Source organism: Homo sapiens, chromosome 9 (assembly GCF_000001405.40).
Source record: "Homo sapiens chromosome 9, GRCh38.p14 Primary Assembly".
Lineage (NCBI taxonomy): Eukaryota > Metazoa > Chordata > Mammalia > Primates > Hominidae > Homo > Homo sapiens.
The window spans coordinates 124,732,259-124,743,943 of NC_000009.12; the positions used below are offsets into that span (position 1 = coordinate 124,732,259).

The window sequence follows — 11,685 nt, forward strand, 5'->3', positions numbered from 1 at the left end:
AAAGTACTACAATCAGAAAAATAACTCTAGACCATCTCATGGAATCTCAATCTAAATTATCATTTGACCTTTCGGCATTATAGCAAAATAAGGTCTGTATACACTGGATACTCCCATGTCCTATTTCTAACCATTATGACTATGTGTCCCAGAATGGTGCACGCCACCACATTTAGGAAGAACTGGAAATGCAAATGATTATCTATGATGAAGACTCACATAGTCCTGAAAAGCATCATTTAATTAGACCTTGAAATGGTAACTCTCATATCTTAACCATAAGACCGTAAATGAAAATTAAACTGTACTACAAAGGTTATCAATTATAATTTCTAAACTAAGCAAAATGCTTCTTTTAAAGAAATTATTTCAAAACTATCAATACTTTAGAAGTGTTTGTGAGTATACAGTTGTCCATGTGCATAAATGCAAGTACGAATTTTTTTTTTTTTTTTGAGGTGGAGTTTTGCTCTTGTCACCCAGGCTGGAGTGCAATGGCATGTTCTTGGCTCACTGCAACCTCTACTTCCCGGGTTCAAGCGATTCTTCAGCCTCAGCCTCCCGAGTAGCTGGGACTACAGGCACCCGCCACCACGCCCGGCTGATTTTTGTATTTTTGGTAGAGACAGGGTTTCACTATGTTGGCCAAGCTGGTCTTGAACTTCTGACTTCAGGTGATCCACCCGCCTCAGCCTCCCAAAGTGCTGGGATTACAGGCGTCAGCCACCACGCCTGGCTTCAAAGTACAATTTTTATTTTTGTTGGTTTCATGGAAGGATGGAGAACAAAGCAAGGAGACTGGTGTTAAACAGAAATTTTCAGCAAACCAACTTTCTATTAAACAGATAGATCCTGGCCACTGAATAATATCAGAAGAAAGCATAACTAGAAAAGACAGAGTGCCCTTCCTATAATTACAAATTAAAGTGAAATAAAATCTGAGAGTCAATAAAGTAAGGCTTATCAATGACACCTTAAGTTATTCACTTAAAAGTGTACACACACATCCTTTTCTTACCAAAGAATATTGGGTAACATTGAGAACTTACTAGTGCCTGGGTCAAGCTCTGCCAATTCATCCTGACAGAAACCTAAAGAGAAAACAATAGGAAAAAAAATTACAATTTGTGAATTACTTCAAGCTGACTCCAAATATGAAGTATCATACAGTTGGGGGGAAATCTATACTCAGAAGTCAATTTGGGTTTCAATCCTAGCTCTAACATTTAGCTACTACATATCCCTCTGAGCCTCCATTTCATCCCTTCAATATAAAAACAGATAATAGCATTTACCACAGAATTGTAATGAGGATTAAACAAGTTACCAAAATAAAATGCTTACCATAGGCCTTGCCACACAGTAGGAGCTCAATATACAACAGCACAAGTAATTATGAGTTATCATGGCAATGTCCGTTGGAATAAAAATTCACAGGAAAATTACAATTCATTTAATACCTGTCATATTCTATTTAACACTGCTAATTCTTTTCCAAAAGAAAGCAAAGTATGTAAAATATTAACAACAATATCAGACAGTGTAATATCATGTAAATTTTTCACAAATGCTGAAGAATTTTACCTACACAAACAAATGAAAGCAATTTTTCCATTAATAAGTATGCTATTCAGGTTGGAATAAATACCTCTCAGAGCACACTTCACATTTCATATGCTCAGACCCAAAAAGTATGAGCTATATTTGTCTGGCTGGTATATAACTAACACACTGGAGAGATAAATCAAGCACAAGGAATGGCAAACATAGTACGTCCTCTATACATCGTTGATGAAAGGTTTTGTTTTTCCTGAAATGGCTGCATACTTTCTTCTGTTTGCTTTCTACTCTTCCTCAGTTTAAATATTTCCTCAGAAAAGTTTTCTCTTGCCTCTTTCACCCTTGTCTCACACACAAGGTCAAATTCCTGTTTATAATTATCTCTAACACCTGTGCTTGCTTCTAGCACTCATCAACAAGGAACTACTTGTTCAGCGTCTGACCACAATGAGACTGTTCCATGAGGGCGGGGATCCGACCTGCCTTGTTTTACAGCTTTAACCCCATTACCTCTCACAAGCCTAGCACGGAGTAGCTGTTCAGTAAACAACTGTAGTATTTCACCAGTAAATTCAGAAATATCGGATCTTGGTGCCGGGTGCAGTGGCTCATGCCTGTAATCCCAGCACTCTGGGAGGCCAAAACGAGCTGATCACTTGAGGCCAGGAATTCAAGACCAGCCTGGCCAACAGGGTGAAACCCTGTCTCTATTAAAAATACAAAAATTAGCCAGGCATGATGGTGCTTGGCTGCAATCCCAGCTAATCGGGAGGCTGAGGCAGGAGAATCTTTCGAGTCTGGGAGGTGGAGGTTGCAGTGAGCCGAGATTGAACCATTGCACTCCAGCCTGGGCAACAGAGCGAGACGCTGTCTCAAAAAATAAAACAAAAAAAAGAAGCAAAATTAGGACTAGAGGGGTATGAAAGTAACTTCTGTCAAAACTGGGTGACCAAAAGCCAGACCAACAACTAGCCGTCATATGGGAGAAATGAGATTCATGCAGCAGGCCAACTGCTTAAACACTACGACTTTGTTTTTGTTTGATACGGAGTTTTGCTCTATCGCCCAGGCTAGAGTGCAGTGATGCAATCTCAGCTCACTGCAACCTCCGCGCCTCCTGGTTTCAAGCGATTCTCCTGCCTCAGTCTCCTGAGCAGCTGGGATTACAGGCACCTGCCACCATGCCCAGCTAATTTTTGTATTTCTAGTAGAGACAGGTTTCATCCTGTTGGCCAGGCTGGTCTCAAACTCCTGACCTCAAGTGATCTGACCACCTTCGCCTCCCAAAGTGCTGGGATTACAGAAAGCCCAGCTTAAACATCACAACTTTTAAAGTCCTTTGCAATTCTGGGCTGTTCTGACCACACCAAACATGCCACATTCTTTCTTGCCTTTCTGTGAGTCCTCCTCCTCCTCCATTTGGTAAAAATGACTCATCCTTTAAGATTCAGTTCCAATATCACAACAATGAAATATGGAAAACAAAAGAGGCCTCACCAGCATTCACCAAACAATAAAGGAATAGTTTAAATACCTGCTTCTTCCACTAGACAGTGAAATCTTCAAGGCTAGGGACTGACTGTGCCTTATCCATCTGCAGAGCTGCTTCTGGCCAGAACAGTTGTGGACACATTATGGAAGGTGCTGAAATGCAGGATCAACTAAACAGAACACACAACCCTGCCTCTAGATCAGTCTAGGGAAGAAAGTCATAGAATCAGGAAATCTTAAGTCTAGTCTGAATAGTGTGTGTAAAGTCTAAATGAGGAGACTGGATCTGAAATACCAGAATTTAGAAGCTGCTTAAAGTGGCTGATCTCAGACCAGCTTTAAACCCCTCTACATAAAGGCAATGGGAATCAGAAAAGCCATGGAGAGATGCCAGGTGTCTTAGTCCATTCAGACTGCTATAATAAAATATCATAAAGTAAGTCTCACAGTTCTGGAGCCGTGAAGTCCAAGATCAAGATGCTGGTAGATTTGGTGTCTAGTGAGAGCCCATTTTATGGTTCACAGATGGTACCTTATCACTGTTCTCACATGGTAGAATGAGCTCTTTAGGGTCTCTCTTATAATGGAACAATCACCTCCCAAAAGGCCCCCATGCTAATACCATCACCTTGGAGGTTAGGATTTCAATATGTGAATTCAGGGGGATCACAAACATTCAGACCATAGTACCAGGCAATGAGAAAATAATTCATCACTACACACGGATTGAATGTTGAACATCATGCCAGAAGTGAAACTGAGAATAAGCATTCACTTCATGTAAATTGACTCAAAAACGGGACAAAAGTACAGGAAAGCAGGCTGGTACAATGGGAAGGTTAGACCTCTCCTAGGTTCTAACTCAAGCCACCTTTAGTTATATGACTCCCTATTCTGGGCCTCAGACTACTTTGGACATTAAATGAACGGACTATACTAGAAGTCTCAAAAAAGGACAAAGCCTAATGTACCTTCTGAAAGTGCCCATTGTTGTGAACTCAAGTAAATGATCAAACAAAAATAGAGGGTGACTCAAAAACAAAGAAAATACTAAGTAAAATATTTAAGATGGACATCTATTGCTTTTATCTGCCTAGCAACCACTCCCCACTTCTGTTAATGGCACCCTGATTTTTCTTTGCAGACTTCTATTCAAAGGCCACATGATCCAAGGAGAATTGACCCTAACTTTGTTGTAAATTGGGATCAACAACAGCACCTACCTTATGGGGATGTCAAAAGAATTAAATGAGACCAGGTACAGTGGTGCATGCCTGTAATCCCAGCACTTTGGGAAGCCGAAGCAGGAGGATCGCTTGAGCCCAGGAGTCGGAGACCAGCCTGGGCAACATGGTGAAACCCTATCTCTACCAAAAAAATACAAAAGTTAGCCAGGTGTGGTGGTGTATGCCTGTAATCCCACCTACTTGGGAGGCTGAGGTAGAGATCACCTGAGCTTAGGAGGTCGAGGATGCAGTGAGCCATGATCGTGCCACTACACTCCAGCCTGGGCAACAGAGTGAGACCAGGTCTCAAAAAATAAAGAATTAAATGACACAGTGAATATAAAGGCTTTGCACAGTACTTGACAAAGTAAGACCTCTATATATGTAAGCTGCTACTAACTAATCTCTAGGGTCCATCCAATTCAGTGCTGTGTCTATGGAAGCAAAGTGTAGATTATAGCAGAGTTACTATTAAACCATTCATGGCATCATCCTCAAAGACCTGGGATGGAACCCTAATATCACTAATGTCACTTTGGTTACTTGCTGTGGTTCTTGAACTTTTACATTTTCAGCCTGTAAAGTGCTTGATGTGGTGATTCCAGATGTTTGCTACTTCCTGAGGAAAGACTCTATATTCACACTAAAAAAAATCCTCCAAGGGTCACAAAGATCCTGATTATAAAATTCAGTAATTACATCTACATTCCCTCGACCTAGTCCTGAGACCACTGCTATTATGTTGTCTCTGGATTTACAGATCATCACTAATGCAGGAGCCTTGAAGATATATGGAGAACAATGTTAATCTTACCTACAAACCACATACCTACTGACCACAAGGCAATGAAATGGCCACAGCTAGCTACTATTGTCAAGCAGAGTTTTGCCCAGATTCTCAGCAACCACATCTAGCTGGCAAAATGATTCTTAGCTAGAAGAACCCAAACCACTGCTAGATGTAACCCCAAATGTACGTTAAATTGGATTTATTCAATTAGATTCAACTCAAAGGCAATCAGAGTTGTTCAGCAGAAAGCAGAATCTTGGCCGGGCGCAGTGGCTCACACCTGTAATCCCAACACTTTGGGAGGCCAAGGTGGGTGGATCACTTGAGGTCAGGAGTTCGAGACCAGCATGGCAAAAATGGTGAAACCCCATCTCTACTAAAAAGACAAAAATTAGCCTGGCATGGCAGTGCACACCTGTAATACCAGCTACTTGGGAGGCTGAGGCAGAAGAATCGCTTGAACACAGAGGCAGAGGTTGTAGTGAGCCGAGATTATGCCACTGCACTCCAGCCTGGGGGAAAGAGCAAGACTCCTTCTCAAAAACCAAAAAAAAGAGGCTGGGCGCGGTGGATCACCTGAGGTCAGGGGTCCTAGACCAGCCTGACCAACATGGTAAAACGCCATCTCTACTAGAAATACAAAAATTAGGCGGGGCGTGGTAGCTCACGCCTGTAATTCCAGCACTTTGGGAGACTGAGGTGGGCAGATCACGAGGCCAGGAGTTCAAGACCAGCCTGGCCAACATAGTAAAACCCCGTTTCTACTAAAAATACAAAAATTAGTCTGGCGTGGTGGTGCACACCTGTAGTCACAGCTACTCAGGAGGCTGAGGCAAGAGAATAGCTTTAACCTGGGAGGCGGAGGTTGCAGTGAGCGGAGATCGCGCCACTGTACTCCAGCCTGGGCAACAGAGCAAGACTCTGTCTCAAAACAAAACAAAACAAAAAGAAAAGCAGGCTCTTAAGCTTCATAAATAAACAAACATACCCCCAAACCCACCTGTCGCACAGAATACAACATATTAAACAGATCAGGAAATTTTCTGAGAAATCCAGGAAATTTTCTGAGAAATCCAGGGTCTTTGTATGGTGACTTAAATTGCTTTCAAAAGGAAAAGAGAGACAAGAAACAGATTGGTTCCTAAGATGATATCACCAAGTCAGTGTGCACACAAGCAATCTGAAATGTTACTGCAAAGGTTATATTCACTTGCCTCAGTTTAACTAGGAAGATAAATGCGTACTGAAAAAAGGACACGGGGGCCGGGCACAATCGCTCACGCCTGTAATCCCAGCATTTGGGGAGGCTGAGGCAGGTGGATCACCTGAGGTCAGGAGTTCAAGACCACCCTGACCAACATGGTAAAACCCCATCCCTACTAAAAATACAAAAATTGGGCCGGGTGCAGCGGCTCACACCTGTAATCCCAGCACTTTGGGAGGCCAAGGCGGGAGGATCACGAGGTCAGGAGTTTGAGACCAGCTTGGCCAACATAGTGAAACCCCATCTCTACTAAAAATACAAAAATTAGCCAGGCGTGGTGGCGCATGCTGTAGTCCTAGCTACTCGGGGGGCTGAGGCAAGAGAATCATTTGAACCCGGGAGGCGGAGGTTGCAGTGAGCCAGGATCACCCCACTGCACTCCAGCCCAGACAACGAAGCAAGACTCCATCTAAAAAAAAAAAAAATACAAAAATACAAAAATTAGCTGGGCTAATTTTGGTGGTGGCAGGTGCCTATAAGCCCAGCTACTCAGGAGGCTGAGGCAGGAGAAATGCTTGAACCTGGGAGGCAGAGGTTGCAGTGAGCCCAGATCACATCACTGCACTCCAGCCTGGACAACAGAGCGAGACTCCATCTCAAAAAAAAAAAAAAAATGGGGGCGGCGAGGGTATGGGTATGAATTAGAATTAGATTCAAATCCCAGATTTGCTATTATCAAATTAACTACTCCAAACCCATGTCTTGGAATGAGGATAAAAATAACCATCACATTCAATTGTCATGAGATTTGGTGAATATATGTAAATCATCTACTTTATGGCAAGTAATCAGCAAATGGCTCTAAGTCTAGGAATCTTATTTCATACAAGAGAAAGTTCCAGTTGACAAGCTCTTCTCCAAATAGGCGTTTTGTTTGCTTTTTAAACAAGGTCTTGCTTCTGTAGCCCAGGCTGGGGTGCAGTGGCACGATCATGGCTCACTGCAGCCTTGACCTCTAGGACCCAAGCAACCCTCCTACTTCAGCCTCCCAAGTAGCTGAGACTACAGGTGTGCACCACCACACATTTGACAAAAAGGCATTTGACAAAAAGAAAATGATCACTGATTCCTCAAATTGTGACTGGCTATCATGAGAGATTAAAATGTCACTGATCTTTTTCCTTTTTGATATTTTGACTATAAAATTGTAAATTTACCATGACAGAAACTTAAATAAACTTCTGAGTATCACCAGTCAGCAAATTAAGGTGTGAAACACTAGCTAATTATACTCTATAATGTGTTAGAGTTACTCAAGCAATGTTTTAGTTTGACTGTAGGAAGACAATATAGTGCAACAGAGACATGGACTCTGGTTAACGTTCTGCTAGTTACTCAGTCTCTTTTGAAGCCTCAATAACCCATATGTAAGATTAAGGCCCTTAAAAGGTAAAATTCTACAATTCTAATCAACTATCTCTTTCTACAAAACAGAAGTTGTATGTGTCTCTCATGATTTGCCAACCACTTTATCTCTTGCTTTTCATAGCATCCTACCCAACAGTGTATACTCCATCCACACTGAAGTACATCGTGGCTCCCAGAATTCAACACGCTCTTTGGCCTCAATTCCTTTACACATGCTATTTTCTCCACCTGAGCCCACCTTTACTCACCACTGACATAAGGACTCAAGTCAGGTCTCCTCTAATTTCCCCCTCCCTTTCCTGCAAACACTCAAGTCTGAGTTAGGCACTACAAACAACATGGCTGAAACTATAGTTTTTCAGGGACCTATGAGGAAGAAAAAGACTGGTTTCAAAATCCAAAACACAAACACATCTGCAAATTTGAAATTCAAATGTTTTAATTAAATATGAGATAACGTTATTTCACTTAGTCAATTGCAATTCAAGTCTTATATAGTTTTAAACATGAGATACAGTGACACAGGGCTTGTAGGACTAAGAAAGCCAAAGGTCAAAATAGGTCTTGAAATTGCTCTGACGAATTCTGTGTGACTCTTCTATGCTCCCACAGGTTCCTGTGCTTTACACACCACAACCATATCATGATCAGGACCACTAGAACCTGAATTCAGAGAACCCAAGGTTTCAGAGAAGTCTGTTTTTCCAGGATCCCCAAGAAAAAGTTAAAAATCTTTACCCAGGTTTTCTATTGATATACAACAGTCATTCACTGGTCTTTCCTAGACCAATCCCCTCTAGTCAGCTGTATCAGTTTCCCATCTACCTTGTCTCCCGTGATCATGATTTGGCACCCAATAAAACTCTTGACTAGATCAGTCAAATCTAGTCTCAACCCCAAAGATAACCCCAGCCCTGGGCCTGAGACATGTCCCAGGAAAGGCAGCTCAATAAATGTTTGAAGAACTGTTTCTTTCACCAGAAGACAATAATGGTAAGCTACAATGCCACTACAATGAATTTCTTGCCAAAATAACAAATTTCAAGAGAACAATTTCACTATTCTCAACTTTTAAAGCCTAGATAAGCACTGTCCAATAGAAATTTCTACAATGACGAAAATGTCATATATCTACACTGTCCAATACAGTTGCCACTAGCTACATGTGGCCAATGAGTACTTGGAATGTGACTGGCGTGAATGAGGAACTGAATTTTTAACTTTACTCTTAATTTAAATGGCCGTATGAGGCTGGTGGCTATGAAACAGTGAAAACATAGTTGTCGTCCCTCTTTGTAAATTTGTCACACCACATGTTTTGGATATACATGCTTAAAAAAATAAAATATGGAAATGTTTAGGCCAGTATTATTTACTAGCCAATTTATAGCTGTGTCAGCTGTTATAAGAATAGGTCCATCAGCCTGCAAATGCAGTCACTTACTCCTTCAAATATTAAGTATCTACCCATACTGTAACAGGCCAGAGGCCTCGAAGGTAGAGATATGAATAAGACTGACTACAGAGAATTAATAGTCTCTAGGAGTACAGAGCAGACAAAAATAACTGTAGAGCCTGACAATGCAAATGCACTTAATGCCACTAAGTTGTACACTTCAAATGGTTAAAATGGTAAATTTTATGCTACGTATATTTTACCACAATTTTTAAAAAGATTAAAGCCTACTGAAGAAAAAAGTTGAAACAATATTTTCGAAAAAATTAACACTATGGGACAGATGGACATGATACACTGGGAAGCAGTGCAGAGTAGAAAGAGCATAAATTTTTATTTCAGAATAGGTTTGAGTCCTGGCACCATTACTTACTAATTGTGTTAGCTTAGGAAATGACTTCACCCTCTGGGCCAATTTCCTCATCTGTCGATTATGAGTACTCAATGATATGATGCACTGAGGTCAGTGAAAGTGCTCGGTAGCCATGATCGATATCAGGGAGAAGAGAAGCAGCAATCATGGAGCCAGGAGCACAGAGAGGAGACAGGCATTCACCAGGCAAACAGGGCTATTTGAGAAACATATTTAGAGGAAGCAGCATGTGAAAGCACTAAATAGAGAGAAAAAACAGAATGTTACTTGGTAATTTGACTTGATTGGAATCTCAGCAGGGCCTTATCATAAAGACCTTCAACTGTCATACATGAAGAGTTTTTGGTTTTTATCCTATAGGCAACAGTGACTGAAAATATATGTACACCTAGGAAGTTTGTCAGTAACAGCCCAACTCTCATTACTTCAATACAGGGGCTCTAAAATTTCAACCAGAAAACCAAAAGCACAAGGAGTTTTAAAAAAATAAAAGAGGCCGGGCACGGTGGCTCACGCCTCTAATCCCAGCACTTTGGAAGGCCGAGGTGGGCAGATCACCTGAGGTTAGGAGTTTGAGACCAGCCTGGCAAGATGGAGAAACCCCGTCTCTACTAAAAATACAAAATTAGCCGGGTGTGGTGGCGCATGCCTGTAATCCCAGCTACTCGAGAGGCTGAGGCAGGAGAATTGCTTGAACCAGGAGGCAGAGGTTGTGGTGAGCCGAGATCGCACCACTGCACTCCAGCCTGGGCAGGAAGAGCGAAACTTCGTCTCAAAAAATAAAAATAAAAATAAAAAATAAAAGAGCAGCTGGGCACTGTGGCTCACGCCTGTAATCCCAGCATTTTGGGAGGCTGAGGTGGGCGGATCACGAGGTCAGGAGATGGAGACCATCCTGGCTAACACGGTGAAACCCCGTCTCTAGTAAAAACACAAAAAATTAGCCAGGCATGGTGGTACGCGCCTGTAGTCCCAGCTACTCAAGAGGCTGAGGCAGGAGAATCACGTGAACCCGGGAAGTAGAGGTTGCAGTGAGCCGAGATGGTGCCACTGCACTCCAGCCTGGATGACAGAGCGAGACTCTGTCTCAAAAATAAAAAATAAATTAAAAATAGAAATAAAAGAGCTTTGTTGAGGCAGCCAAAACACACATGGCTAGCCATCCATAGACCTCCTTTAGATTCTAGAAACTTCCCTTTGGGGGGGCCCTTCCTCCACTCTATCTTCTAGTCTCCTTTTGGTACAATGAATGGCTTTGGCATGAGGCTGAGAAGGAATGCAGCTTTATTTTGGTGGTGGGAAGTAACAAACATGAACTACACAGCCTGCCTTACAGCCATATCTGCAGCCTGCAAGCAGCTCCAGACCTAGGCAGATACAGGAACACTTTTCTTGGATTGGCTGATTAAATTCACACCTGCCTCTTGCTTTTCTATCCAGTGAGTGGGATGCCACTTGGGCCATTAGCTTTTGTTTCTCACAGGCAGCTTGACAAACCATACTTAAAGAATAACAGAAAATGCTTTTGAATGCAGAAACATAGCACCACAAGTCCATATAGCAAAAGCTATCTGGTAGAGCTTTAAGTAGTAGCTCTTTTCTCCACCTACAAATGTCATGGTCACATTTTTAAAAGTGCAACAAAAACAATACCCTTTTCCTAATGTAATTTTCTTAAACATGAAATCTTAGGGGGATACTATGCCCATGTATTTGCTCAGCTTAAATGCAGTACACGAGTGTCTATATTTCTATGGAAACATTAATAACTTCCATCTGATCAACCTACATCACCTTTCATATAGTTTTTCCGGCTTCTAGCTTTGCAATTACAGCCTTGAAACCAGACTGAAGGCAGAAAAGCCAGCCCAAGATTATGACATTTCAATTTTAAAACATTTTTAAAAAATAAAGACAGTACACAGCTTTCAAGGCTGTAGCTATAGAATCAAAAGGTGAAAACGGTTTAGGAAGGCAATTCAGTCTGATGAGTCAGAGGTCATTAGTGTTTCTATGGAATTACAGCACAGGCATTTCTCAGAAAACTGCACGTACTGATGATTCTCTGGCATTTTTCATTTGCAATTTTTGGTTCTCTGGAGGAACAAAAGGGACTGTTGATAATCCTTCATTTGTCTTGGAGGTTAAGAAATTTCA

The 11,685-nt window shown here is 41.7% G+C and overlaps 1 protein-coding gene and 1 long non-coding RNA gene across 5 annotated transcripts in view, besides 1 other annotated feature; both read right to left on the reverse strand.

Annotated features, from left to right (window-relative positions):
* The window catches only part of NR6A1 (nuclear receptor subfamily 6 group A member 1), a 254,037-nt gene that overhangs the window by 214,984 nt on the left and 27,368 nt on the right, over positions 1–11,685 (reverse strand). For all 4 annotated transcript variants that reach the window (NM_001489.5, NM_001278546.2, NM_001410996.1 and 1 more), the window contains exon 2: positions 1,050–1,091. In NM_001489.5, coding sequence (NP_001480.3) covers positions 1,050–1,091 — 42 coding nt within the window. The remainder of the gene's footprint in view (positions 1–1,049; positions 1,092–11,685) is intronic.
* Positions 2,460–2,991: an enhancer, noted in NCBI's record as "H3K27ac hESC enhancer chr9:127496997-127497528 (GRCh37/hg19 assembly coordinates)". NCBI's record gives its function as "activates a minimal SCP1, AML or CMV promoter by ChIP-STARR-seq in primed H9 embryonic stem cells {active_cell/tissue: H9 hESC(primed)}" and the evidence as "EXISTENCE:reporter gene assay evidence [ECO:0000049][PMID:30033119]".
* Positions 8,121–11,685, reverse strand: part of LOC124900274 (uncharacterized) — a 30,102-nt gene continuing 26,537 nt past the window's right edge. The window contains exon 2 of the long non-coding RNA XR_007061773.1: positions 8,121–9,766. This is a non-coding gene — a long non-coding RNA (uncharacterized LOC124900274). The remainder of the gene's footprint in view (positions 9,767–11,685) is intronic.